The sequence below is a fragment of the Homo sapiens genome, chromosome 1 (assembly GCF_000001405.40).
Source record: "Homo sapiens chromosome 1, GRCh38.p14 Primary Assembly".
In the NCBI taxonomy this organism is placed as follows: Eukaryota; Metazoa; Chordata; class Mammalia; order Primates; family Hominidae; genus Homo; species Homo sapiens.
This window is the reverse complement of record NC_000001.11, coordinates 247,099,674-247,127,629: the sequence shown is the minus strand read 5'-3', so window position 1 is coordinate 247,127,629 and position 27,956 is coordinate 247,099,674. Positions and strand designations below refer to the sequence as shown.

Genomic DNA, 27,956 nt, shown 5'->3' with positions numbered 1-27,956 from the left:
ATGTCTGGAATCTATAGATAACACAACCGGTCAGGTCAAGGGTCAATCTGTAACCAGGCCCAGGACGCGGCGCCGGGCTGTCTGCCTGTGGATTTCATTTCTGCCTTTTAGTTTTTACTTCTTCTTTCTTTGGAGGCAGAAATTGGGCATAAGACAATATGAGGGGTGGTCTCCTCCCTTAAGTGATGATGGTGCCCTGAGTTCCTCACCAAGAAAACCTAAAGGTACTTCATGCCTTTCTTGTAATTAACTTGAAGGGAAAGAAAACTTAACCCCAAATCAGCAATTTACCTCTGATTACATAACCAGGAACCATCCACCTAAATAATCCGAATAACAGAACTACATAATTATAACCAATCAGTTATTAAATTGGGGTTGCTTTGGGCTGGGCGGGGTAATCCCAGCACTTCGGGAGGTTGAGACCAGAAGTTCAAGACCAGCCTGGGCAACACAGGGAGACCCCCCCCCCGCCCCACCCGATCATTAAAATAAAAAATAAATAAATTTGGTTTGTTTCCTTACACACTTTACAGAAGCCTTTCCATCAAGACCGTCCGGTGGCCCACAAACCAAAAACCGTGGCTGGGTGCTCCCCTACTCATGAATCGCTGTTTGCTCAAACTCTGTAACGCTTTAATTAAACCTCAGTTTAATTTTTAACAGGATTAAGGAGGGACTGGAAACGCCAGTGGCCACAGCTCCTCGCAGGCGCGAGCCCGCACACCGCGCTGGGCCTCTCCCCTGAGGCGCCTCGGGTCTCACTGCAGGATCCCGAGGAGCCGCGGGGCTGCGGGCGCGGGCCGGGGAGGGAAGCTGCTTCGGGCAGGACGGAAGTCGCGGTGCAGAGACGGGACCGGAGCCCGGGGTGCCGCTGCCCGCCCAGCTCTGCCGGGCGCCAGAAAGGACCGAGGGCCGCGCCGCGCCGCGCCAGCAGGGACCCGGGTCCGCCCTCGGGAGCCGACCGCTGGGAGCCCGGGGCCCGGGGCCGCCACAGCCCCTTCCCTTCTCCAGACCCCCGGCGGCGCAACTCACCATTTCCCAGCTTCCGGGGTGTCCCGACATCCTCCCTGCGAATCCCCCAGTACATGCAGGTCACAGGAGGGCCCCGGCTGCGGCAGAGCCTCCTGAACCGCCGAGAGTGAAGGAGAAGCGCAGGGCTACTGACCGAGACACGCACGTGCGGGCACGAGAGACAAAGGCCGGGCACACCCGGAAGCCGCCTCGGGTTTTCTAGCGGAGCGCCGGATTAGGCAGTCCCCGCCCCGGTGCCCCTGATTGGGTAGGGCCTCAGGCCCCGCCCCCTCAGACTCTTAGTGACAGGTGACAGCTCCCGCGCGTGTCTGAATGAGGCAGCGTTCTGGCTACAGCTCTTCTCCAAGAGGGTTTCCTCTCTGGGTTGGGACCCAGCCTTGCCTAGGGGACATTCATTTATATACACTTAACCTTGTATACAATGTTACATTCATTTGTGAATAATATATATGATATTTAAAATAGGGTACAATATAATAATAATTTTTGTATCTTTAGTAGAGACGGGTTTCACCATGTTGGTCAGGCTGGTCTCGAACTTCTGACCTCATGATCCGCCCACCTCAGCCTCCCAAAGTGCTGGAATTATAGGTGTGAGCCACTGTGCCTGGACTATTACATTTTCTAGAATTTTATATGAATACAATTGTACAATATTTACTTTTTTTCCCCAGTGAAAATAGCTTTTATTCAAATGTCCTTACTTTTATCTGGATTATTTTACTTGGACTAATTAATATGAGATCCAGCCACATTGCTGCATGTAGTTTAAATGGGTGAATTCTATGCTGTTTGAATCCTCTCTCAATAAAGTTGTTACCAAAAACTCAATGAGATACCACTGCATTCCCAGTAGGATGACTAAAATGAAATAAATAAACAGATGGCTGGGTGCGGTGGCGCCTTTAATCGGCGCCGGCGCCGATCACGAGGTCAGGAGTTGGAGACCAGCCTGGCGAATGTGGTGAAACCCCGTCTCTACTAAAAATGCAAAATTTAGCCGGGTGTGATGGCAGACGCCTGTAATCCCAGCTACTCAGGATGCTGAGGCAGGAGAATCCCTTGAAACGGGAAGGCAGAGGTTGCAGTCAGTGGAGATCTCCAGCCTGGGCGAAAGAGGAAACTCTGCCTCAAAAAAAAAAAAAAAAAAAAAAAAAAAAAAAAGACAAAAACAGGTGTCGGTGAAGATACGGAGAAATTGGAACCCTCACACCCTGCTGGTGGGATTGCATAATGGCGCAGCCACTCTGGAAAACAGTCTGGCAACCCCTCTAAAATTCAAACATAGAGGTACCATTTGACCCAAAAACTCCACCCCCAGGTACAGATACACAAGAGAAATTAAAACATCCACAAAAAAGCTAGTACACAAATGTTCACAGCAGCAGCATTCGTAACAGCCAATGTGTGAAAAAGTCTCCAGTGTCCGTCAGAGGATAAAATGTGGTCTATCCTTGCAATGAAATCTTATTCACCCATAAGAAGGAATGAAGGCCGGGCGCTGTGGCTCATGCCTGTAATCCCAGCACTTTGGGAGGCGTAGGCAGGTGGATCACTTGAGCCCAGGAGTTGCCAGCCTGGGAAACATGATGAGAGCTCGTCTGTACTAAAAATGCAAAAAAATAAAAAAATAGCCGGGCATGGCGGTGTGTGCCTGTAGTCCCAGCTATTGGGAGGCTGAGGTGGGAGGATCACCTGAGCCTGGGGAGGTCGAGGATGCAGTAAGCCATGATCACACCACTGCACTGCAGCCTGGGTGACAGAGCGAGACCCTGTCTCTAAAACAAAAGGAATGAAATGCTGATACATACTACAACATGAATGAACCTTGAAAGTATTTGGCTAAGTAAAAGAAGCCACATACACACACACACAAACCCCACATATTGCGTGATTTTATTTTTATATGAAATGTCCAGAATTGGCAAATAGAGACAGAAAGTAGATTAGTAGATTAGACAGAAAGTTGCATAGGCTGGGGGGAAAGGAGTTGGCTGCTACAGGATGCAGAATTTCTTTATGGGGTGATCATCTCAAATTGACTGTGATGATGGTTGGGCAACTCTGTGGATGTACTAAAAGCCACAGAATCAGAGCCGGGCGTGGTGGCTCACGCCTGTAATCCCAGCACTTTGGGAAGCCGCGGCGGGTAGATCACAAGGTCAGGAGTTTAAGACCATCCTGGCCAACATGGTGAAACGCTGTCTCTACTAAAAATACAAAATTAGCCACATGTGGTGGCCTGCACCTGTAATCCCAGCTACGCAGGAGACTTAGGCAGGAGAATCGCTTGAACCTGGGAGGTGGAGGTTGCAGTGAGCCAAGATCACACCTTTGCACTCCAGCCTGGGCGACAGAGCGAGACTCTGTCTCAAAAAAAAAAAAAGCCACAAAATCATTCATTTTAAATGGCTAAATTTTACGTGTGTGATCCCAATAAAGCTATTAACAAAAAATGGCTCACGTAGGCCGGGCGCAGTGGCTCACGCCTGTAATCCCAGCACTTTGGGAGGCCGAGGCGGGCGGATCATGAGGTCAGGAGATCAAGACCATCCTGGCTAACACGGTGAAACCCCGTCTCTACTAAAAATACAAAAAATTAGCCGGGCGTGGTGGCGGGTGCCTGTAGTCCCAGCTAAAAGCACATCACAAAGGGCATAAATACAGGAAGGGATGAAGAGTTGCTGCCATTTTTGCAATCAGTATCATGCCTTTTCTTGCAGATGAGGTTTATATAACTTTCCAAGACAAGGAAGTTGTGCAAAGCCTCACAGCTACTAAGAGGCTGGGCTGGGACTCAGGATTAACTTCGTGACTCCAAAGCCCATGCACCTCTGCAAGCCACACGAATCAAGCAGCTTCTCTAAACCTTTGAAGTCCTGGAAAGTAACTCTTCTGCAATAGAAGCAAGAATCCTGTGAGATTGGGATCCATCTAGTACTCTTCACCATTTGGAACAACTGCCTCCAGAGAATGCTTCTGACGCATCTTGGAAGAACTTGGAATAACCTGAGGAAATGGTCGATTTGCTAATTTAGGAAACCAATGTTCGATACGTGTGTGATCCCAATAAAGCTATTAACAAAAAACGGCTCACGTAGGCCGGGCGCAGTGGCTCACGCCTGTAATCCCAGCACTTTGGGAGGCCGAGGCGGGCAGATCACAAGGTCAGGAGATCGAGACCATCCTGGCTAACACGGTGAAACCCCATCTCTACTAAAAATACAAAAAGTAGCCGGGCGTGGTGGTGGATGCCTGCGGTCCCAGCTACTCAGGAGGCTGAGGCAGGAGAATGGCATGAACCCGGGAGGCGGAGATTGCAGTGAGCCGAGATCGCGCCACTGTACTCCAGCCTGCGTGACAGAGCGAGACTCCGTCTCAGAAAAAAAAAAAAAGAACATAATATGTGTATTGTGTCTCATGTACACTGTTGAAGAGGTAGCAGCCCATGATTGATGAAATAGTCCAGTGATCTTATGAGATACAAGTTTGTTTTCATGTTCTCTCTCTGACATTGTCTATGCTTAGTTATTGTGTTCATGCTTATTCCTTCATGGTCCAAGTTGGCTGTCCCACCTCCAGGCATCAAACCACATTCCAAACAGCAACCAGGAGGAAATAGTAAGCTGATAGGTCATGGGGAATTAGGTTGGAAGCCATTGCTTTTTAATTTACAGAAGTCCATTCTCCCCAGGCACTTCTTTCTAAGTCTCATTGATCAGAACTCAACCACGTGGCCACCATCAGCAGAAACATCTCTCTGTAGCACCGTGAAACACATGAGAACATAACTGGGGATGACCGTTGTTACTTGAACTATTTTGAAAGATCTGACATAAAGGTCATCGCCTTGTGCACTTCAATGGGTGTTACTGCAAAACTCCCAGGGCTAGGCATGGCGACATACACCCGAAATCTCAGCTATCTGGGAGGCTGAGGTGGGAGGATTGCTTGAGCCCACGAGTTTGAGGCTGAAGTGTGCCTGTGAATAGCTACTGCACTCCAGTGCCTAGGACACATAGGGAGACCTCACTTTTTTATGGCTGCATAGTATTCCATGGTAAAGAAATGTACCACATTTTCTTTATCCACTTCACTGTTGATGGGCATTTATCCACTTCACTGTTGGTGGGAATTTAGGTTGAATCCATGTCTTTGCTATTGAAGTCACACTTTTTAATCAAGTTATTTAACTTTCCTGTGTTCATTTGTGTTATATACCAGAACATTTTTATTTCTATGGTTTTAATGCCACCTAATATGATTATCAATGTGTCATTCTCCATAAATCATTGTGTTATACATGTTAAACGATTAGGTATTAAGTGTATAGGTATAAATCACTTAGAATAATGACTAACACATTGTATGAACTAAATAAGTACTGATTCATCTGATTCATCAAATTTCCATTATTCATACCATTCATTATTTATTAAGTGGTGTAGTATTTGTTCTTATCAACATTTGCTTTTCTGTCCTATCTAAATATTAATGAAACAGTGGATGTGGGCTCAGTGTGCTGTCTTGAAATAATCCAAAGTCAAATGGCATGCTTCACTGGTTTCCTTTAGATGCAATAACTCATTTGACTCACACAATAAAAATGAGTATTAAGTATATCAGCTATCCTTATATTTGTCATGCTACAACAGAGAAAACTCTGGGTCACTGGGCACCGTGGCTCACGCCTGTAATCCCAGCACTTTGGGAGGCCAAGGCAGGTGGATTGCCTGAGCTCAGGAGTTCAAGACTAGCCTGGGCAACATGGTGAAACCCCGTCTCTACTAAAGTACAAAAAATTAGCCGGGTATGGCAGCAGGCACCTGTAGTCCCAGCTACTCGGGAGGCTGAGGGAGGAGAATTGCTAGAACCTGGGAGGCGGAGGTTACAGTGAGCCAAGATCATGCCACTGCACTCCAGACTGGATGACAGAGCAAGATTTTGTCTCTTAAAAAGAAAAGAAAAGAAAACTCTTGGTCATTCACTGATGACACCAAAGCCCTACCCTCATAAATCTTCCATGTCGACTGCCCAGAAAACCTAAAAACGTGGAAACTATGGAATACTACAAACGCAGAATAAATATTTCATTAGGAACAAATTATCAAGGTAAACCCGAGATGAAATAGGATAAATACACATATAGTAAAAAGATTTAATTAATTTAAAAATATACAAAGTTGCAGAGAGAAAAGCAAATGTTTTTGAACCAATTATGAGAGACAGTCACAGGAGTGATTCCCACTTTTATGAATTGACACATTCTTTAGGAGAAACCACATCTAATTTTGGACTTTGGTTCATAGCAGGTTCTATATGAACCAACAAGTTCATATCCTGGAGAACTACTCAGTGCACAGGATTTTGTTTCCTGCTGGTACCTTTTTTTTCTGAGACAGTGTCTCTGTCTCCGAGGCTGGAGTGCAATGGCACCATCTGGGCTCACTGAAGTCTCGACTTCCCGGGTTCAAGAAGGAAAATTGCTCCCACCTCAGCCTCCTGAGTAGCTGGGACTACAGGTGCATGCCGCCACCACACCCAGCTCATTTTTCTTTTTTTTTTGAGACGGAGTCTCGCTCTGTCGCCCAGGCTGGAGTGCAGTGGCGCGATCTTGGCTCACTGCAAACTCTGCCTCCTGGGTTCATGCCATTCTCCTGCCTCAGCCTCCCGAGTAGCTGGGACTACAGCTGCCCGCCACCACGCCTGGCTAATTTTTTTTTTTTTTTTTTTTTTTTTTTTAGTAGAGATGGGGTTTCACCATGTTAGCCAGGATGATCTCAATCTCCTGACCTCTTGATCCGCCCACCTCGGCCTCCCAAAGTGCTGGGATTGTTGTATTTTTTGTAGAGATGGGGTTTCACTGCGTTTCCCAGGCTGGTCTCAAAGTCCTGGACTCAAATGATCCTCCCGCTTCGGCCTTCCAACATAATTTTGTCTTTCATAGGTTACTCCAAAAATTCTATAATGCTAGTAGATTTCAATGAAATCTACCCGTGAAGTGAAGACTTCAGTGAAGCGAGGCCTCCAGCCTGCCCATTCCCCTGTACCCAGCCAATGGTGGTGCCCACCTTGAGAACAGTGAGGTAGGGCGTGCTGTCCACCCTGTGCCCAGCCAATGGTGGTGCCCACCTTGAGAACAGTGAGGTAGGGCGTGCTGTCCACCCTGCACCCAGCCAGGGGTGGTGCCCACCTTGAGAACACTGAGGTACGGTGTGCTGTCCACCCTGTGCCCAGCCAATGGTGGTGCCCACCTTGAGAACAGTGAGGTAGGGCGTGCTGTCCACCCTGTACCCAGCCAACGGTGGTGCCCACCTTGAGAACAGTGAGGTACGGTGTGCTGTCCAGGCCCGCCTTGCTGACATTCACCTCCGTGTGCTAAGGTGCTGTACACCTGCCATGGAGCTGCACCTCGCTGCCTAGCAGAAGGCGCTGGTGAGGAGAACACATTGAGAGGGCCCAGCTGGGCTTAGGGCTACCTCACTTCATGCTCCCTGCCTGAAGGCCACAGCCCACACACAGCCTGTCCAGCATGTAAGTTTGCTGGATGCTGCTGAGCTTGTTCTTCATGACATGTGTGGAAAACAGCAGTCTGAACGCACCGCCCTCTTCATAACCAGACTCTACTGCCGGTGCCTCGGCTCCAAGTGGAAGGGCGAGAGAGGATGGCAGCCATGCCCCCACCACCCTCCAGGCCCACCTCGATGCTCGCGTGTGATGCTTTCCACAGAACTTCTTCTGGCTCTTCAGCCAGATGGAGGGAGTAGAGTTGCCCATGGTCAGGCATCAGAAGCAAATGGTGTTGGTGTCTGGCACCACAAGCTGGTTCCTGTCCACCCGCTGGAGCTGAGTCCAGTGGGGTCCCTGCTGGCAGAGTGCACAGGAAGGCCATAGCCAAGGTGGGGAGCAGAGGCCCGTCTGACCCGACGCCCTTCCAACCTTGCCCTCGCCTGCAATCTCGGTTTTTCCTCCTGTGTAGGGAGTGTTGGCCTTTTAAAGACCCCTGCTGAAGTAGACGAGGCTCCCAGGAGCCCCGACGTCATGTTCCCCCATCTCAGGCTTTCTCAGAGCTGGGCCATGTGTCCCCTCCCTGTCTGCTTCCTCCAGCTGGCAGCTCCTGCTGAGAGGTCCAGCGTGCTCCACCTTGGCCTTGAGACCTTCAGGTCATAAGGGCATCTGCCAGCGGAGTACCCACCTGCCCAGGGAAGCACACTGAGGCAGGCCCACCAGGAGAAGGCCCAGGACCCAGCTGGGTGCATGAACCGGCACAGGCCTTGGGAACAGTTTACCAGAAGGGGAAATCCGGCTGCCTGGAGAACTGGGAGCTTCAGAGATGGCTGGGCAGCGATGGCCCACTAGAATCTGCGCCCCTAGGCCTCCCTCTGTAGAGCTCCAGGGCTTGGTGGGTACCGGGTGAGGATGGCATCCAGGAGGCCCCGTCTCTGCCCCCTTCTGGTGTCCAGGGCTGCTGCAGCCTCTACCCTCAGCCCAACGGTTTTCTCCTTCCTAAGGACTGGTTTGGGGGCGGCCTTCCTGCCAAGACTCTTGGAAATGCTGAACTGTCATCCCCCAGGAGGGGGCACCAGGGGACCAGGAGGAAGATAAGCCCTCCCCGTGATGACCTTGCTGTCACCCGCCCACAGGGACACGCCCCCTCCCCGTGATGACCTTGCTGTCACCCGCCCACAGGGACACGCCCCCTCCCCGTGATGACCTTGCTGTCACCCCCCCACAGGGACACGCCCCCTCCCCGTGATGACCTTGCTGTCACCCCCCCACAGGGACACGCCCCCTCCCCGTGATGACCTTGCTGTCACCCCCCCACAGGGACACGCCCCCTCCCCGTGATGACCTTGCTGTCACCCGCCCACAGGGACACGCCCCCTCCCCGTGATGACCTTGCTGTCACCCCCCCACAGGGACACGCCCCCTCCCCGTGATGACCTTGCTGTCACCCGCCCACAGGGACACGCCCCCTCCCCGTGATGACCTTGCTGTCACCCCCCCACAGGGACACGCCCCCTCCCCGTGATGACCTTGCTGTCACCCCCCCACAGGGACACGCCCCCTCCCCGTGATGACCTTGCTGTCACCCGCCCACAGGGACACGCCCCCTCCCCGTGATGACCTTGCTGTCACCCCCCCACAGGGACACGCCCCCTCCCCGTGATGACCTTGCTGTCACCCCCCCACAGGGACACGCCCCCTCCCCGTGATGACCTTGCTGTCACCCCCCCACAGGGACACGCCCCCTCCCCGTGATGACCTTGCTGTCACCCCCCCACAGGGACACGCCCCCTCCCCGTGATGACCTTGCTGTCACCCCCCCACAGGGACACGCCCCCTCCCCGTGATGACCTTGCTGTCACCCCCCCACAGGGACACGCCCCCTCCCCGTGATGACCTTGCTGTCACCCCCCCACAGGGACACGCCCCCTCCCCGTGATGACCTTGCTGTCACCCCCCCACAGGGACACGCCCCCTCCCCGTGATGACCTTGCTGTCACCCCCCCACAGGGACACGCCCCCTCCCCGTGATGACCTTGCTGTCACCCCCCCACAGGGACACGCCCCCTCCCCGTGATGACCTTGCTGTCACCCCCCACAGGGACACGACCCCTCCCCGTGATGACCTTGCTGTCACCCCCCACAGGGACACGACCCCTCCCCGTGATGACCTTGCTGTCACCCCCCCACAGGGACACGCCCCCTCCCCGTGATGACCTTGCTGTCACCCTCCCACAGGGACACGCCCCCTCCCCGTGATGACCTTGCTGTCACCCGCCCACAGGGACACGCCCCCTCCCCGTGATGACCTTGCTGTCACCCCCCCACAGGGACACGCCCCCTCCCCGTGATGACCTTGCTGTCACCCCCCCACAGGGACACGCCACCTCCCCGTGATGACCTTGCTGTCACCCGCCCACAGGGACACGCCCCCTCCCCGTGATGACCTTGCTGTCACCCCCCCCACAGGGACACGCCCCCTCCCAGGGATGACCTTGCTGTCACCCGCCCACAGGGACACGCCCCCTCCCCGTGATGACCTTGCTGTCACCCCCCACAGGGACACGACCCCTCCCCGTGATGACCTTGCTGTCACCCCCCACAGGGACACGACCCCTCCCCGTGATGACCTTGCTGTCACCCCCCCACAGGGACACGCCCCCTCCCCGTGATGACCTTGCTGTCACCCTCCCACAGGGACACGCCCCCTCCCCGTGATGACCTTGCTGTCACCCGCCCACAGGGACACGCCCCCTCCCCGTGATGACCTTGCTGTCACCCCCCCACAGGGACACGCCCCCTCCCCGTGATGACCTTGCTGTCACCCCCCCACAGGGACACGCCACCTCCCCGTGATGACCTTGCTGTCACCCGCCCACAGGGACACGCCCCCTCCCCGTGATGACCTTGCTGTCACCCCCCCCACAGGGACACGCCCCCTCCCAGTGATGACCTTGCTGTCACCCGCCCACAGGGACACGCCCCCTCCCCGTGATGACCTTGCTGTCACCCCCCACAGGGACACGACCCCTCCCCGTGATGACCTTGCTGTCACCCCCCACAGGGACACGACCCCTCCCCGTGATGACCTTGCTGTCACCCCCCACAGGGACACGACCCCTCCCCGTGATGACCTTGCTGTCACCCCCCCACAGGGACACGCCCCCTCCCCGTGATGACCTTGCTGTCACCCTCCCACAGGGACACGCCCCCTCCCCGTGATGACCTTGCTGTCACCCGCCCACAGGGACACGCCCCCTCCCCGTGATGACCTTGCTGTCACCCCCCCACAGGGACACGCCCCCTCCCCGTGATGACCTTGCTGTCACCCCCCCACAGGGACACGCCACCTCCCCGTGATGACCTTGCTGTCACCCGCCCACAGGGACACGCCCCCTCCCCGTGATGACCTTGCTGTCACCCCCCCCACAGGGACACGCCCCCTCCCAGGGATGACCTTGCTGTCACCCGCCCACAGGGACACGCCCCCTCCCCGTGATGACCTTGCTGTCACCCCCCACAGGGACACGACCCCTCCCCGTGATGACCTTGCTGTCACCCCCCACAGGGACACGACCCCTCCCCGTGATGACCTTGCTGTCACCCCCCCACAGGGACACGCCCCCTCCCCGTGATGACCTTGCTGTCACCCTCCCACAGGGACACGCCCCCTCCCCGTGATGACCTTGCTGTCACCCGCCCACAGGGACACGCCCCCTCCCCGTGATGACCTTGCTGTCACCCCCCCACAGGGACACGCCCCCTCCCCGTGATGACCTTGCTGTCACCCCCCCACAGGGACACGCCACCTCCCCGTGATGACCTTGCTGTCACCCGCCCACAGGGACACGCCCCCTCCCCGTGATGACCTTGCTGTCACCCCCCCCACAGGGACACGCCCCCTCCCAGTGATGACCTTGCTGTCACCCGCCCACAGGGACACGCCCCCTCCCCGTGATGACCTTGCTGTCACCCGCCCACAGGGACACGCCCCCTCCCCGTGATGACCTTGCTGTCACCCTCCCACAGGGACACGCCCCCTCCCCGTGATGACCTTGCTGTCACCCGCCCACAGGGACACGCCCCCTCCCCGTGATGACCTTGCTGTCACCCGCCCACAGGGACACGCCCCCTCCCCGTGATGACCTTGCTGTCACCCGCCCACAGGGACACGCCCCCTCCCCGTGATGACCTTGCTGTCACCCGCCCACAGGGACATATGCCCACCTCTCAGGGGATGACGCCAAGGCACTGGTGAGCACAGTGTGGACAGATGCTGGGAAGAGGCACTTCCCAGAGCTCTGAGCTGCCCTCCCAGGCTTCCCGGGATAGCGGGCAGAGACCCCAGAAGACAGAGCCTAGAAAACTGCACCAGGGGCTCTTTCTCAGGACCGGGCACCCACAGTGACTCAACAATGCTGTCCACGGCCAGACAGTGCCTTCTGAAATGCTGCTGTCCCGGGACCCTCACAGCCCAAGCTCACATGGGATGAAAACGCCTAACTCCTACCTGGGATGGTCAGGTAGGCGGGGGCAAGCAGGGACTCAGGGCGAGAGTACCGGAGTATGTGGTCAGGAGTAGGGGCCATGGGGACAGCACAGCCAAAATAATTCTCATCCTATCCCAGGATCCACTGCTGTCCTGGCCTCTGGCCCCCTGGGGTGCCTGCATCACAGTTGACGGTCTCACTGACAGAGATCCCAGTGACAGAGATCCCTGGGCTTCCCCCGACTTCCTTCTCCCGGGCTGGCTGCTCCTCACCTCCTTGCCTGCTCCACTCCAGCAGGCATGGGGGCTCAGCCCACACACCATTGGTCCCCAGGTTGTGTGACTGCCCCCCCACCGTGTCCATCCCAGCATGACACTCACTCGCATGTGCACGTCTCTTGGCTTCTCCAAAGCCAAGTCTCAGTTCCCCACCCAGGCCATCTACAGCTGAGCAACGTGCACCAGCCTCTGTTCCAAGCCAGAACCCCTGGGCATTGTCCACCTGATTGCTGTCTCACACACACAGCCATCTGCTGGGAAACCCAAACCCTGCTGGCACTAATCTACAGCCCCGCATAGACACCCTCCCCGCACTGGGCTGTGGCAGTCATCTGCTGGTGCCCTTACCGCCTGGGTCCATCCACCCCATTGCAGCCGCCTGAGCTCTGCTGTACTCACATCTGCAGGGGTCCACCTCACCCAGAGTCAACACCAAAGTCCCCACAGGCCAGCCCTGGCCTCCTCCTTGCTCCTGGAGCCCTCAGAGCCCCGCGCCTCAGTCTCCCCATCTGCAGCATGGGTGTCCCCTCCCACCCCCCGCCTGCTACCCAGAGCCCAGGGCCAGGCATACAGACCCATCTAGGTGGCCCAGCTCCTTCTCTACCCTGAGGTGACTTAGGGAGGTCATGCCCCAGGCCTCAGTCCCTCACCTGCCTGTTGAGGCCTGGGCTTGCTGGGTAGGAGCAGGCCTCACCCCCGGCCAGCCTGTGTCTTAGCCTCATCCTCCCATCTTCCTCACCTCCTGAGGATAGGGCAGCTGCAGTGCAGGAGAGGGTGCGAGTGGGCGGGGGCCCCGAGGCAGCCCACGCCCCAGTGCCTGCTGCTTCTCAGCCCAGAGAAGGGACTTTCACCCCAAGGGCCCAGTCTCTGACTCGCCCCAGGAGGACCCTAGGTGCCCCTCACAGATGGAAATGGGGTCCCTCAGGCAGCACCTCCTGGGAGTCCTCTCCTCTCCACCAATGACAAGCAAGACCTTCAGGGTAGAGTTGTGGCAGCCACACCTCCAGAGACCCCTTGGCTGCTCCTGGACCACACAGCTGCTCAGGGAACTTTAACCTCTGGCCCCCTCCACACAGCCTGGTATGACCCCTGCAGGCACTCACCTGTCACTCGCACACAGAAGGGCACAGTACACACAACCTGGGTGAGCCGCTGCCAGCAGCTATTGGCCTCAGCGTTCTCTCGAAGGCATTGAGCACCAGCAGCCACCGCTGCTGAACATCAGGATGCAGTTCAGGACACCAGCCCTGCCCCAACCTTGACCCAGACAGGGGGTGTCATGGGACCACTGCTGGGTGGGTGGCAGCTCAGCTCCAAGGTGTCCCCATTGGTTAAGAGTAAATATTCCTACTGGCCAGAATCAGGCACTGGGATCTCTGCCAGGGAGATGGTCAACTGTGATGCAGGGACCCCAAAACCTGGCACTCCAGGACTCAACACCCCCATAGGGAGGCCCCATGGCACCCCCACTTTACAGGCACACCAGCAGAGGCCACTGGAGCCCTGAGTGAGGAAGGAGCCAGCCCAGAGCCTGGGGTCTCAGCAGACAGTGCTCAAAACCAGGCATGGGCTGGAAACTCCCTAAAGAGCCGAGGGTCAATATTTTCAACTTTGTCAATGCATCCGTCTCAAGGACGGGGCCCTGCAGTTGCAGCGTGACCGCAGCCTTCCACAGACAACATGTGAATGAACAGGCAAGGCTACACTCCCAGAAAACTTTACTATGGACATGGAAACTTCTAATTGGAAAGTGTCATAAAGTGTTCTTCTTCTTTTGATTTTTTTTTTTCCCATCACACACATCAGAGAACAAAACTGCTGTGCCAGGATAGGGTGAAAATGTTCCCCTCCTGCTGTGGGTCCCACAGCACCTGCTCCTGCCAGCACCCCCACCCCACAAGGTGCTGACCCAACCAGGGTGCCACATGCCAAGAACCGCCCAAAGGCTGTGGCAACCTGGAAGTGCTGTTCAGCGCCTGGGCATGTTTCCCGGTCACAGTCTCCCTGACTTTGCTGGTCACTGGCCCTGTGCCTGTTTTTCCCACTGTGGCAAAAGGTGATCTCACCCCGAAGGCAGGAGGGTCTGACAGTAGAGGGCGGAGATATTTCCTGTCCTGGGTCTCCTGCCCAGAGATCACTGTTCATCAGGCCATGGCTAGGCCAGTCTGCTGGGGGAACTGTGTTCCCTGTCCCCTGCCTTGGGAGTCTAGTGGCCAGATCCAGGTTGTTACAGTTAAGAGCCCCCAGTGTACTGGGGGAAGCCCCGGGGGGAGGGGGTGGGGATGGAGGTGGAATGATGCTCCATCAAAAGGGCCCTGGGGTGGGTCCCAGAGAACAAACATCAAATTGAGGCCCTTTTCTGAAGCTGGCTGCCCAAGGAATTTGCGTTTTGGAGTAAGATGAGAACATGGGGTCAGGGAAGAAAGCATTTTGGTTTTGGAAATGCACAAAGTTCTCTGAGGCTCTCTGAGGTCCAGATGTTTCGCTAGGTATGTGCTTTAAAAGGGCCCAGGAGGAGTGGGGGCGCCCAGAAGGGACAATGCAGCCAGGGGCCAAGGTCTGGCCTGCCTGCCTCCCCACCTACAGGCATTCCAGAGTTTCGTACAAAGTCAGAAAGATGTGCGGCCAAGGAGGGCTAATGCGAGTTTATTTGGATTGTCCAGTTTAATCGTCAAAACACCCCTGACATACGGGTCCTTCCTGGCAGGTGAGGAAACTGAGGTTCGAGTAGGGCATCCAGAGCTGGGGCGGGCAGTTGGCAGCCTGCAGCCCCTGAGGTCCCGGCAGATCTTCCCTGGCCCCCAGCCAGGCACGCTGCACACTCCAGCTCATTCACCTGCCAATCACCTGTCCAGGACTCAGGCCGGCGGGGCCTCCCGTCCTCCCGCCAGCCCCCTTGCTCATCGCTGGGGCCTCCCTGCGAGGCTGTCAGCGGCCGAGGTGGGGGCCCTTGCCGGGGTGAGGAGCCGATCGTCCACCGGATCAGGCCCCCTGCAGCAGCCCGCCTGGAGCCCGAGCATGGCCGGGCGGGGAAGGGGCGGCGGCACCGGAATTGCTCCGCCCAGCTAAGGCCGGGGCCGTGGCTCCTGTGCAAGATGGGCCTGTGCACCCTCCAGCCCCTGGGCCCTCCTCGAAAATCCTCCACATCCTGCGGGACCTGGACCGCCAGCGGCCTCCCAAGCCTGGGCCATTTGCCCCGTCGCCTCCGCCTGGCATTCGACTTCTTAGAACCGCGGGCACGAGGGCAGCGTGGGGGCAGTGGTGGCTGTCAGTCCACGCGGGCCGCCGAGAGGACGCGCCCACCCCACCCTCCAAACGCCGTCCTCCTGCTTCAGCCAGAGCCGTCCCTGACATGGGCCCAGGGACGCGGCTGCAGAGGCCACTTCCGGTCACTCCCCGCTGCGGCCTCGCGCTCCGGGAGCCGCACCCTCCGCTGCGCCAGCTCCGACCGCAGTCTTCGGGAGCAGAAGCAGCGCCGCGCGGGCCCTGACCCCACACCCTCCCCGGCGCCTCCGCCTGCAGGACCCCGGCCCTCCCCGGGCTCGCTGGGTCCCTCCGCCCCGGCCGCTCCCCGCACCGCGCGCGGTGCCTACGAGCTCCAAGGCGGCGCCAGCCAAGACGGTCCCGGCCAAGCGGCGGTGGGTGCGACCCCCACCACGGGCCCCGGCACCGGCGGGGAGGGCGCGCTCCTAGGCTGCGGGAGCGGACGGACCCCTCCGACTTCGGCCACCTGGCGCCGCCGCCTCCTCCCCGCCGAAGTCCCTCCCGGGGCAGCCGCCGCAAACTTTCCGGAGCGGGAGCGACTGTGAACCCGAGTCCTCCCGGCGCCCCGGGCCCTTCGCGCGCCTGCCGGTCCCCGTAGCCCGGCCCTGCGCCCGCCCGGGCCCCACTACTGCGGCCGAGCGATCCGGCGTGACCGCGGGACCCACAGGGCGCCCCTGCCCCGCGGCTCTCTCCACCCCCGCGCGCTGGGGCTGCGGCGCCGTGTCTGGCGCGAGGCTGGGGGCCGAGGGTGCGTAGTCGGGGGAGACAGCCGGTCCTAGGGGGCCCTTTGGCCGGGCGCGGGGGCTCACGCCTGTAATCCCAACCACTGGGGAGACTGAAGCGGGAGGAGCGCTTCAGTGCAGGAGTTCGAGAGCTGGTGGGGAAACCAGCCCCACACCACCCGGCGGGTACCCCGAGTCCGGCGCAGACAAAGGATTTAGAAAGAGAATCACAGTTTAACCGGCGGGTCCAGGGGACCAGGGCGTCGGAGGCTTGCTCGCGGCCCCGAGCTCTCGGCCTCCACCCAATTTATTGGTTTACCAGCTCTTCGTTCTTAGGGCAAATGGGAGGGGTGAGAAGGGATGAGGAAAAGGATTAATCAATGAAGGAGAACTCGTGACTCATTTAATAAGATGTGTAGCCGTGGCGGTTTCTGTGAATTTCCTCTAGCAAAGGCGTGTGTCTAAACTATTTAAGATCTTTACCTTATCCGGACTGAAATGCGTGGGAGCGGGTTTCAGGAGCAGCCAAGATGTTTGATTGTACTCCACTGCTTCAAGGGAGTGTTATCTCCGCCAGCACCTGTGGCATGCGTAAAGACATGAAGGCAAAAAGGAGACTTTTCTCCTCAGAGGCCGCCCATGGCTTCCCATGGATGTCTCACGCAGGGGGGACCAACTCATCTGGCATTCCAGAAACTCTCTTTCCCACATATGTCCCCCTTTTTTTGTCTCTATTAATTTTTTTTTTTTGAGATGGAGTCTCGCTCTGTCGCCCAGGCTGGAGTGCGGTGGCGCGATCTCGGCTCACTGCAAGCTCCGCCTCCCGGGTTCACGCCATTCTCCTGCCTCAGCCTCCCGAGTAGCTGGGACTACAGGCACCCGCCACCGCGCCCGGCTAATTTTTTGTAATTTTAGTAGAGACGGGGTTTCACCGTGTTAGCCAGGATGGTCTCGATCTCCTCAACTTGCGATCCGTCCGCCTCGGCCTCCCAAAGTGCTGGGATTACAGGCGTGAGCCACTGCGCCCGACTCTATTAATTTTTTTTTTATTAATAACCGCCATTGCTATTTCGTTCACTGTGTCTGGCTTCTCTACCAAGGCGCCGTCGGCATCTGTAGACTAAAAATAAACAGCATAAACAGACACAAACCAAAATAAAATTTGCAATTGTTGATCCACCTATGGTTTTAATCCACTTTAAAGGATTAGTGTTAGAAAGGCCATCAGCGGCTCCAGTAAGAATATCAGCTCCAGGCAACAGGCTGAGATGAGCCTGAGATGCCTCAAAAAGCTGTCTTTTCGGTTTAGCAATATCTAATGTTAAATTATCTTCTTTTCCTTGTAGGTGACGTCTAATCATCTCCCAATCGTGTTCAGTGGCATTGTAAGAGCTAGGAGTAATACAAAACTCAGAAGTATTCCAATCACATTGCATTTGAATTCTATGCTCCAAGCTCATAATCCGATCTCCCATCCAAATTACTGTTTGACGGAGATCATTAATTTGATTTGCCAATTTTTGATCTATTTGGCTTTGGGAATTCCAAAGCTTAGAATAATTTTTCTGCCAACTACCCACAAAGTCCGCAGTTTGAATAGAAGAGTGCAAAGCAACACCAGCAAGGCCCAGGACCACAGCTATTAAAGTAAATAGGAATCTCTTTGATCTATTAAGTATTCCTTTTAGTACTTCAGTGATAATATGTATGGAGGGACAGGCCTCCCAAGGTCTATTGAGGAAAACAGGTATCCAAACTCCTTCTCGGGCCCTAACCAGTAAAATGCTATTATCTTTATTAAAGGCAGAAATAATGCAGGTAAAAAGACGACAGTTGAGGCATGATATGGTTTGAGAGTCAGGTAAGATATTAATTTTTCCCACTGCCAACATAAAAGGAGGTTTAACACAACTCTGCAATGGGACCATCTGATTAGAGGTCATGGCTACAACAAATCGAAGTTTTTTACTATGGGTCTCTGTTTTACATTCTGCTTTCCAAATCCGAATTGGGCTTTGAGCCATCATTAATTTCCACAATTCTGGATGTTCTGGGCTTATAATTGGATCAATAATTTTTGGGCTTGGAGGAGCCATACCGTTCTCCTCCCACTTAATAGGGTAATTTGTTTCAATTCTTCTATGTAATTTTGGTGCATTATCTGGGTAGTCGTTTGCAAAATAGTCTCTCTACAATCTTCACTCTGTCCAGTACAATTTACTGCAAATTGTCCCCTAGGGGCCCAATCAATGATGATTCCATAGGAATTATTTTGTAGTACAGCAGCACTGTTTGCAATATAATCTTCCCAGGTTAGCACCTCTAGCTTTTCTGACCGTTTAATAACAGGAGGTTCTTATTAGGTTTAAATTTATTAATCTGGCGATGTGTCACAACATAGCCATGCTCAAGGTATTTAATAGTGTCCAAAGATTGAAATGTTCTTCCACTGATTGCATGAATAAAGGCTTTTGATCCGTTATGTGCAGGAACATAAACCATCCAACTTTGTGTATCATAATTTAAAAATCCTGCTGCTGGCCCCAGGCAGATGGCAGGAAAGCGATAACCAATAGAAACATTCATTAACATTCCTCCTCCTCCTCCTTCCTCCTATTACAAAAATAGGTGTAATTTTGATCTGCCTCTGCTACAGGAAGACTCACCACCAAGGAGATTACCGCCATCATAGCTACCATTAGATTACTGGTGGTCAGCGGCTTGTTCTGAGACCTCAGGTTCTCTTCTGCAATGTGAGCCAGTCTCTTCATCTGCCCCCAGGTCGGTGGAGTTGCTTGGGGAGTTTTACTGGTTTCCATCTGCTCAACAGAGATGTTCATCTGAGCCGTCTGACGAACTGGGGGCGCAGAGACATTCTGAGGTCTTTTCCTCTTCTTGGACTCTGTCTCATGGCACAGCTTAAGATGTCTTGTGGGTACCCAGACAGGAAGCTGATTCTCTCCTGGTGAAATACAAGCAAATCCTCAACCTCAACAAGACCCACTGGGGCCTTTTGTTTGGGCCAGTTTTTTGGCCATTGGTAAAGAGCTATGATCGACACATCTGCTCCTATGTTGACCAGACCCTCAAATTGTTTTCCTTGAATGGTGACCATACAAATAGGTCTATTGTCAGAGACTTGATTTACCCAATAGGCAGCCTTGCCTGCTGAATTTGTGCTTCCAAATCCTCCTATTCTTTTTTCTGAGCTTTCTCCTAACTTAACATACGGCAAAAGCAACAGTTGAGCTATTCTGTCACGTGGATTAGCACTCCAGGGAACAGTGGAGGAGATAACAATTTGAATTTCTCCGTAGCAATCAGAGTCCACTACTCCTGTATGTACTTGAATTCCCTTTAAGTTGGACCTTCCCAGTATAAGTCCCACCGTGCCATTTGGCAGTGGGCCATAAACTCCTTTTGGGACCTTCCTGGACTGCGGCTGGCTTCCCAAAGTGGGGAAGAGGGCTGGTTGAAACCTGCCTCAATCCATTTGGGAACACTCCATTTGGAGTCAGGGATGTCCCGTCCTGAATTGGGAATGCCCCGTTTTGAATTGGGGCCCGGTCCTGAGTTTTGCCTTTTTTGCCTCTTTGTACACTCTCTTTTTGTATGTCCTATCTGTCCACAATTATAGCAAGACCTGGGGAACACTCATGTGTTTTTTGTTACCCTTAGTCCAGCCATTGCCTGAGCAAGGAAGCTGGCCTTATATAAGTGCTCCCCAATGCCATCACAGGCTTTAATGTATTCACTTAAAGCTTTTTCCTCATTTAGATCTGCCTTTCCTTTAATAGGTCTAATTGCTGCCTGACATTCTGTATTAGCATTTTCATCAGCAAGCAGCTGAACGATCACTTTCCTGGCATGAAAATCTGAAATAGCCTTTTGAGCCGCATCTTACAAACGGGCAATAAAATCTGGATAAGGCTCCCTTGGACCCTGTCGAACTGAGTTAAAACACGGATAAGTTGTACCAGGGTTGTGAATTTTTTCCCAGGCTCTTAGGCATATAGTTCTGACCTGATCAACAACCTCATCACCCATTACCATTCTGTTGATTTAGAGTACCCCATGTGATTCCAAGCAATTGATCAGATGTGATATTAACGGGACGTTGGACTTGAGCATTTCTGCATGCCCGATTTGTTGCTTCATCTGTCCACCAGGTTTTAAATTGGAGAAATTCAGAGGGGGACGGAGTGGATTGGGCTAGTGCCTCCCAATCCATAGGTATTAAACGCCTGTTATAAGCCACAGATTGTAACAAGGAATGAACATAAGGAGAATTTGGCCCATATTGTCCAATTGCTTGCTTTAAGTATTTTAATATTTTAAAAGGAAGTGGCTGCCAGCATGCTTGAGCATGTTCTCTGGGCTCCTCAACTGGCGAATTAATTACCAGAAACTGCAAAGCATCCAAATCCCCCATTTCTCATGCCTGGCGAATGGATGACGGGATTGTCCCCGTGCCATAATTTGTATTTGGACCGGCTCGCAGCATTCCTCTACCACAATTAACAGGTGGTAGAGGATCATTCCCTGATCGTAATTGGCTGTTAGGCGAGCCTGAAGCTTCCCTTCGCCATAGTTATTGGTGGGGCCTGCAACAATGGGAGCGGCAAGCCGCGTCTCAGGCTCCAGTTCCAAAAATTTGTAAGGCTGAGCCGGGGGTGGCCATTCCAGACCTTCCCCTAAAGGCGAAGTAGGTGGCACTGTTTCTTTTATAAGTTTTTGGAGATTAGCATATATACCTTCCCGTTTCTCGGCCTTTTTAAAACTAGACTGTGATGGTTGATTTTGCTGATCATTAGACTCCTGATTATTAAAGTTTTCTATGTCATCCTGAAGCTCCTCCTCAGTGTGGAAGGGCTCCAGTGCTGTTTTAATTGCAGGCCACGCAGACCAAGCAAGAAGGGAATATCGTGGCCCTCTTGTTGTGCTCGTTTTAAGTCTGATCCGACCTTGTCCCAGTCTTTTACATTCATGGTTCCATATTCCGGGAACCAAAGAGAATACTTTTTTACCAGATAGAACAAAGATGGGAGATTTTGGGTACTCACAATTACCCCTCCGCGGCGCAGTAACTGCCGGACAAGGCTTCAGTAATTAGCAAACTTACTCTCAGCCTGACCCATAGTTTCCGGAGGTTACCCTGGAATTTTCCGAGCGCCCTACTTACCTGTAGAGCTTGAAGTGAAAACGTACTCGGGCGTCCTTTGTCAGTCATCCTCCACTTTCCACTCTCTGGCATTCCTTCACTGGATTATTTGTAGAGATTACCGGGAGCCCGGCGTTGGGCACCAGAGACCAGCCTGGGCAACTGAGGGAGACCCCATTTCTACGAAAAAAAAAAAAAAAAAATTAGGCAGGCGTGGTGTCCAGTGCCTGTAATCCCAGCTACTCCATGAGAGATTGGACAAAACCTGGGACCAGAGACTGATTTTCTTCTAAAATGCTTTCTCCAAAATATTTTTAAAAGAAAAGGGGGAAATTGGAAAGGAAAATGTTTTGAGCCCCCCAGATCACTAAGCTAAAGGGGAAAGTCAATCTGGGAACTGCTTAGGGCAAACCTGCCTCCCATTCTATTCAGAGTCATCCCCTGCTCACTGAGATGAATGCATATCTTATTGCCTCCTTTGGAAAGGCTAATCAGAAACTCAAAAGAATGCAACCGTTTGTCTCTCACCTACCTGTGACCTGGAAGCCCCCTCCTGGCTTCGAGTTGACCCGCTTTTGCTTCAGGTTGTCCCGGATCAAACCAGTGTTCATCTTACATATGTTGATTGATGTCTCCTGTTTCCCTAAAATGTATAAAGCTGTCAGATACAGTCAGTTTCTCTTCCAAGGTTTGGCATGTTAACTTTCTTGTTTTTTTGTTTTCGAACTCAACTTTCTTGTTCTCCATGCCTCCTTGCCCTTAGTTACTGTAAACAACCTTCCGTCAGTTCTAATCAATAACTCACATCTGTTCCCTTGGTTACCTGCTCTGCACCCATTTCTCCCTTGGAAACCGCAAGTCCCACCATTGTAACTCACATCCCCCTTCCCCCTTCCTTATTTGGGAAAATATTCACAAATAGCCAACCGGGTCAGTTTAGATCGTGCGGTCTGACCCCAGCCCATGCCAGAGGTAGGGACTGCGTTAGGAATAAAAACCCCTGCTTTCCTCTGTTCAGTGTGCTCTTGCGATCGTGATTGATGCGAGCAGCACGCTTCTGCAGAAGTAAATTGCGTTGCTGAGAAAACTTTCGCTTGAGTGCTGGTTTCACTTTGCGGCACCGAGCATTTCTCTCCAACAAAACCAAGCTGTGCTCTGACCACCTTGGGCACATGTCATCAAGGACATCCTGAGGCTGTGTCATGCATATGCATCCCCAACCTTGGCAAAATAAACGTTCTAAATACTCTTACCCCAAATGCTCAGGGAGACTGATTTGAATAATCATAAAACTCCAAGCCTGCACTCCAGCCTGGGAGACAGAGCAAGATTCTGTTTCAAAAAAATAAAATAAAATAAAAAAACTCCGGTCTCCCGCACAGAGGACACTGCGTGAATTACTCTTTCTCTATTGCTATTCCCCTGTCTTGAGAAATCGGCTCTGTCTAGGTAGCGGGCAAGGTGAACTCCCTGGGCAGTTACAGAACTGTCATTATATTGCTTCCAATTTTATATATATATATATATATAAAAGGCACAAATAGCTATAACTTGTATACAGGTTAAATGTGAATGTCCTTCTTGCATGGTCGGATCCCAGCGCAGGAAGGACGCACCGCCTACAAACCGCTAGGCCAAAAGCGGTCATTCTGACCTCATCCAGCCTCACGTGAGATCGCAATCTCCTGTCACTCAGGGCCTGAGGGGCGGGGCCTGAAGCCCCATCCAATCAGGGGCGCTGGGGTGGGGACCGTTCAATCAGGCGCGCCGCCGGAAAGGAGAGGGCGGCTTCCGGGATCTGCCTGGCGGTTGCTTTGTCTCTCCTTCGCCGGAGCCGGCTCTTCCTGTTAGTCTCCGCTGCTAGTTCTTGGCTCTGGGAGGCCCAGGTGGCTCTGCAGCAGCCTCTGCCACCCTGTGACCTGCGAGTATTGGGACATCCCTAGCTGACGCCAGGACACCCGGGAAGCCGAGGAATGGTGAGTGGACTGCGCCTGGCTTCCCGAAGTGGAGAAGAGGGCTGGTTGAAACCTGCTGTGGCGCGACTCGGGCCTCCACGCCATCGGCTCCGGAACCTGCGGACCGAGTCGCCGTGGCGTAGCCGGGGCTCAGTCCTCTTCTGTTCAGGGCCGGGCCGGGCGGGGCGGGCAGCGGAACCCCTGCATCCTGTCTGTACCTGCGGGCGCCACTTCCGCCGGCCGGAGCCCTGTCGGGAACCCCTCGCCTCCCCTATCCAGGTAGTGTGGTGACCACGGGAGGGTGATGCGGGAGAGCCCCGACTCGGTGTCTCGGTGTGCGGGGTTCCAGCATGGGAGGAGCTGTGGTTCATGGGGCTTCCAGTCCCACCTTTCTTCCCCTAAAATTAAGCCGAGGCTTTGTTAAAACGTTAAACCGTGTGTTTGAGCAAACGGCGATTCATAAACCAGGTACCGCAGTCATGGTTTGTGGTTTGGGGTCCACAGAAGGGGCGTAAATGAGAGGCTTTGATAAGGTTAATGAGGAAGCAAACCATATTCTTTTTTTTTTTTTTTTTTTTTTTTTTTGGAGACGGAATCTCGCCCTGTCGCCAGGCTGGAGTGCAATGATGCAGTCTCACTCATTGCAACCTCTGACTCCCGGGTTCAAGCGATTCTCCTGCCTCAGCCTCCCGAGTAGTTGGGATTACAGGCGCCCGCCACCACGCCCAGCTAATTTTTGTATTTTTGGTAGAGACAGGGTTTCGCCATGTTGGCTAGGTTGGTCTCGAACTCCTGACCTTAAGTGATCCGCCCGTCTCGGCCTCCTAAAGCGCTGAGATTACAGGCGTGAGCCACCGCGCTCGGCCAAAATATTTTTCTGTTTACAAACATTTTACATGAGAGGAAAGCGGAGAATAAACCATCTGACACTCTACTGTAAAAAAATCTTTGTGCCTCTCTTCATCTTTCCTAAGTGTGCATATTACCAAAATGTCTTTAGGTTGATGTCCCCCTGTGAAAACTTTACAGGGTGTTGTGTCCTCAGCCCTTGGTCTGCTTGCTCATCTCTCTGCTAATACTGTGCTGTCCTGAATATTTTTGGTTGAAAATCTTAAAAGTATGTTAGGCAAGACATAACTCTTTTTTTAGATGACTGAAAATCATTAGACATTTGTCATTTTTACTAGGTATGAAAAACTAGTTTTTCTTGCCTAAAAAAGCCTGATTTGGGAATTTATGTGATTTCACAGGAATAGCATCTGGAAGTGGTGACATTAATGTCATTTTAAAAAACATGTGCCATATTTCCTCTTATTCCATTCTGCCTTGACATTGTGCAATAGAAATTTAAAAATTGTATTAGTAAATTGTTAAATATCAATTATTGGTTTTATTTACTACTCAATTAAATTTAATAAGCCTATTCTCTCTTGGTGTAATCACATGGAATGGGCTCAACTCCCCAATTAACAAGTGACAGCACATATAAAATATTGTCTACCAGGGAAACTCATTAAACACTTAGTGTTCAGACTGTGTTTTGGTGTCTGGTTCCCTAAGCACCACTGCAGTGACACAAAATAATAGACCTTTAGCAGAAAAAGTTTTGGCAACTATATTGCATAAACCATTTAGATGCAGTGAGTCATTCTTATTACTTAGGTTGGTGGAATCCCTTTCAAAATGTAAGTTACTAATACAAACAAAGATTGAACTTTGTGAGCAGGCATTTTTAAGAATAAGTAGTCTTAGGACTGATATTATTAACTCACTTATGCACATCAGGTAGGACTTTATTATGGCAGATACTAGAAATGTACGAAGTGAAATTAAGAGGTAACCTAGCAGCACATCTTACTCCCTGGATTCTCTAATGAGATGGGTATTTCCACTTTGCTGTTGCCTTTTTGAATAGTTCAATTCTAGCATTAGTACTGCTGTGTGGGAGGGAGTATGTGTGAACAGAGTAAGAGTTGTGACAATCAAGTCATAGAATAAATGCTTGGAAATTATCAAATCATGTAAACAGCTTATGAATTGAGTATAGATTCCCAGTGCTGTCAGTCTCACCCATCCTTCTATCCACATGTGTGGAATGTTCTAGGACTCGGTGGCTTTTGAGGATGTGGCTGTGAACTTTACCCAGGAGGAATGGGCTTTGCTAGATTCTTCTCAGAAGAATCTCTACAGAGAAGTGATGCAGGAAACCTGCAGGAACCTGGCTTCTGTAGGTAAGAATGACAACACATTTCAGTTAATTACAGAAGTCTTTCCCTATCATCAGTGCTATTTATGATTTGGAATGTGGCAAGGGAATGATTTGGTGAATAAATCAGGCATGGGCACTGTGTACAGTGAACATTAAATCTAGTAATGTGTCTACAGTTTGTAATAATTCATGATAATTTTATGGGTCTGCATTTTAGGAAGCCAATGGAAAGACCAGAATATTGAAGATCACTTCGAAAAACCTGGGAAAGATATAAGGTAATTTGCACTGAGCAGAGGAAATAAAGTCCTCTGAAGGAATCTTAGCATGTCATGAACTTAAAAACAAGCAATCAAAACAAATAAGAGTCACTTGAAATTTATTTATTTTTAGAAAAATTTCACCCAAAATGTAACGTACTTCAATGTAGCAGTCAGTGTTTGCAAAAGAGTTTACTTGAAAATAGTACTACAAAACTGTGTATATGAATATTACTATTTTGGTCATAGCCATGCAGGTGGTAGCTGTGTTTTCAGTAGTAACCCATTTACTTTGAAATAATTCAGTCATGGCAAAAAAAAAAATGCATTTTCCCTGATATTGGTAGCAGTGTAAGTCCAAGACCTATTAATAAGTAGAAAGTTATTAATAAACCAACCAATAATAATGTGCTTGTCATTTTTTTACAGAAATCATATCGTACAGAGACTGTGTGAAAGTAAAGAAGATGGTCAGTATGGAGAAGTTGTCAGCCAAATTCCAAATCTTGATCTGAACGAGAACATTTCTACTGGATTAAAACCATGTGAATGCAGTATTTGTGGAAAAGTCTTTGTACGTCATTCCCTCCTTAATAGGCATATCCTAGCTCACTCAGGATACAAACCATATGGAGAGAAGCAATATAAATGTGAACAGTGTGGGAAATTCTTCGTTTCTGTTCCAGGTGTTAGAAGACACATGATAATGCACAGTGGAAATCCAGCTTATAAATGTACGATATGTGGGAAAGCTTTTTATTTTCTCAATTCAGTTGAAAGACATCAGAGAACTCACACAGGAGAAAAACCCTATAAATGTAAACAATGTGGTAAAGCATTCACTGTTTCCGGTTCTTGTCTAATACATGAACGAACTCACACTGGAGAGAAACCCTACGAATGTAAGGAATGTGGGAAAACATTCAGATTTTCTTGTTCTTTTAAGACGCATGAAAGGACTCACACTGGAGAAAGACCCTATAAATGTACCAAATGTGATAAAGCCTTCAGCTGTTCCACTTCCCTTCGTTACCATGGAAGCATTCATACTGGAGAGAGACCCTATGAGTGTAAACAATGTGGCAAAGCCTTTAGTCGTTTGAGTTCCCTTTGTAACCATAGAAGTACTCATACCGGAGAGAAACCCTATGAATGTAAACAATGTGATCAAGCCTTCAGTCGCCTCAGTTCCCTTCACCTCCACGAAAGAATTCATACTGGAGAAAAACCCTATGAATGTAAGAAATGCGGTAAAGCCTACACTCGTTCCAGTCACCTTACTCGCCATGAAAGAAGTCATGATATAGAGGCTGGGTGTAGTGACTCAGCCTATAATCCCAGCACTTTGGGAGGCCAAGGCGTGTGGATTGCTTGAGCCCAGGAGTTCATAACCAGCCTGGATTAAAACAATGTGAAACAACCTGGGCAACATGGTGAAACCCTGTCTTTACAAAAAATAAAATAATGCCGGGCACGGTGGCTTACGCCTGTAATCCCAGCACTTTGGGAGGCCGAGGCGGGTGGATCACGAGGTCAGGAGATCGAGACCATCCTGGCCAACACGGTGAAACCCCGTCTCTACTAAAAATACAAAAAATTAGCTGGGCGTGGTGGCAGACGCCTGTGGTCCCAGTTACTCGGGAGGCTGAGGCAGGAGAATGGCATGAACCCGGGAGGCGGAACTTGCAGTGAGCCGAGATCGCACCACTGCACTTCAGCCTGGGTGACAGAGTGAGACTCTGTCTCAAAAAATAAGATAAAATAAAATAAAAAAATAATTAGCTGGGCATGGTGGCACATTGCAGTTGTCTTAGTTGTTTTTCAAGGACATGAAAAGCCGTGCGCAGCAGGCGGGGAAGCCCTGTGCATGCAGATCACGAGGTCGGGAGATTGAGACCATCCTGGCCAACATGGTGAAACCTCGTCTCTACTAAAAACACAAAAATTAGCTGGGTGTGGTGGCATATGCTTGTAATCCCAGCTACTCAGGAGGCTGAGGCAGGAGAATCGTTTGAACCGGGGAGTTGGAGGTTGCAGTTAGCTGAGATGGCACCACTGCACTCCAGCCTGGTGAC

At 52.0% G+C, this 27,956-nt stretch overlaps 2 protein-coding genes, 2 long non-coding RNA genes and 1 pseudogene across 5 annotated transcripts in view, besides 1 other annotated feature; 3 read left to right on the top strand and 2 right to left on the bottom strand.

Annotated features, from left to right (window-relative positions):
• The window catches only part of ZNF124 (zinc finger protein 124), a 50,405-nt gene extending 44,750 nt beyond the window's left edge, over window positions 1-5,655 (top strand). Inside the window, exon 4 of the mRNA NM_001243740.3 lies at window positions 3,759-5,655. Within this exon, the coding sequence (NP_001230669.1) occupies window positions 3,759-3,762 (4 nt within the window). The 3' untranslated portion in view covers window positions 3,763-5,655. The remainder of the gene's footprint in view (window positions 1-3,758) is intronic.
• On the bottom strand, window positions 7,348-7,896 carry FGFR3P6 (fibroblast growth factor receptor 3 pseudogene 6; annotated as a pseudogene).
• On the top strand, window positions 15,213-17,475 carry LINC02897 (long intergenic non-protein coding RNA 2897). Its single transcript, NR_167894.1, has one exon. It is a non-coding gene; the product is annotated as a long intergenic non-protein coding RNA 2897 (long non-coding RNA).
• A 593-nt stretch (window positions 17,476-18,068) lies between these two features.
• FLJ39095 (uncharacterized LOC400812) lies at window positions 18,069-23,119 on the bottom strand. Its single transcript, NR_147502.1, has 3 exons — window positions 21,990-23,119; window positions 21,479-21,637; window positions 18,069-19,258 (listed from the first exon to the last, which is right to left on the bottom strand). It is a non-coding gene; the product is annotated as an uncharacterized LOC400812 (long non-coding RNA).
• Window positions 23,029-23,323: an enhancer, noted in NCBI's record as "tiled region #11854; HepG2 Activating DNase unmatched - State 1:Tss, and K562 Activating DNase matched - State 1:Tss". NCBI's record gives its function as "activates a minimal TATA promoter and a strong SV40 promoter by Sharpr-MPRA in HepG2 and K562 cells {active_cell/tissue: HepG2 | K562}" and the evidence as "EXISTENCE:reporter gene assay evidence [ECO:0000049][PMID:27701403]".
• On the top strand, window positions 23,274-27,668 carry ZNF669 (zinc finger protein 669). Of its 2 annotated transcripts, none has more exons than NM_001142572.2 (4): window positions 23,274-23,433; window positions 25,517-25,643; window positions 25,839-25,899; window positions 26,311-27,668. In NM_001142572.2, the coding sequence occupies exons 1-4, from the start codon at window positions 23,431-23,433 to the stop codon at window positions 27,254-27,256; spliced, it is 1,137 nt and encodes a 378-aa protein (NP_001136044.1). In that variant the 5' UTR covers window positions 23,274-23,430; the 3' UTR covers window positions 27,257-27,668. The 2 variants fall into 2 exon arrangements, with proteins under 2 accessions (NP_001136044.1, NP_079080.2); NM_024804.3 differs by having other exon boundaries at window positions 23,274-23,691.
• Window positions 27,669-27,956: the final 288 nt, after the last annotated feature.

Bases quoted from the DNA above. Each gene is read 5' to 3' on its own strand.
- ZNF669 (NM_024804.3), top strand. From the start codon at position 23,431: ATGGTGAGTGGACTGCGCCTGGCTTCCCGAAGTGGAGAAGAGGGCTGG. The intron at 23,692-25,516 runs GTAGTGTGGTGA...GGAATGTTCTAG, and splicing joins CCCTCGCCTCCCCTATCCAG to GACTCGGTGGCTTTTGAGGA. The intron at 25,644-25,838 runs GTAAGAATGACA...TCTGCATTTTAG, and splicing joins CAGGAACCTGGCTTCTGTAG to GAAGCCAATGGAAAGACCAG.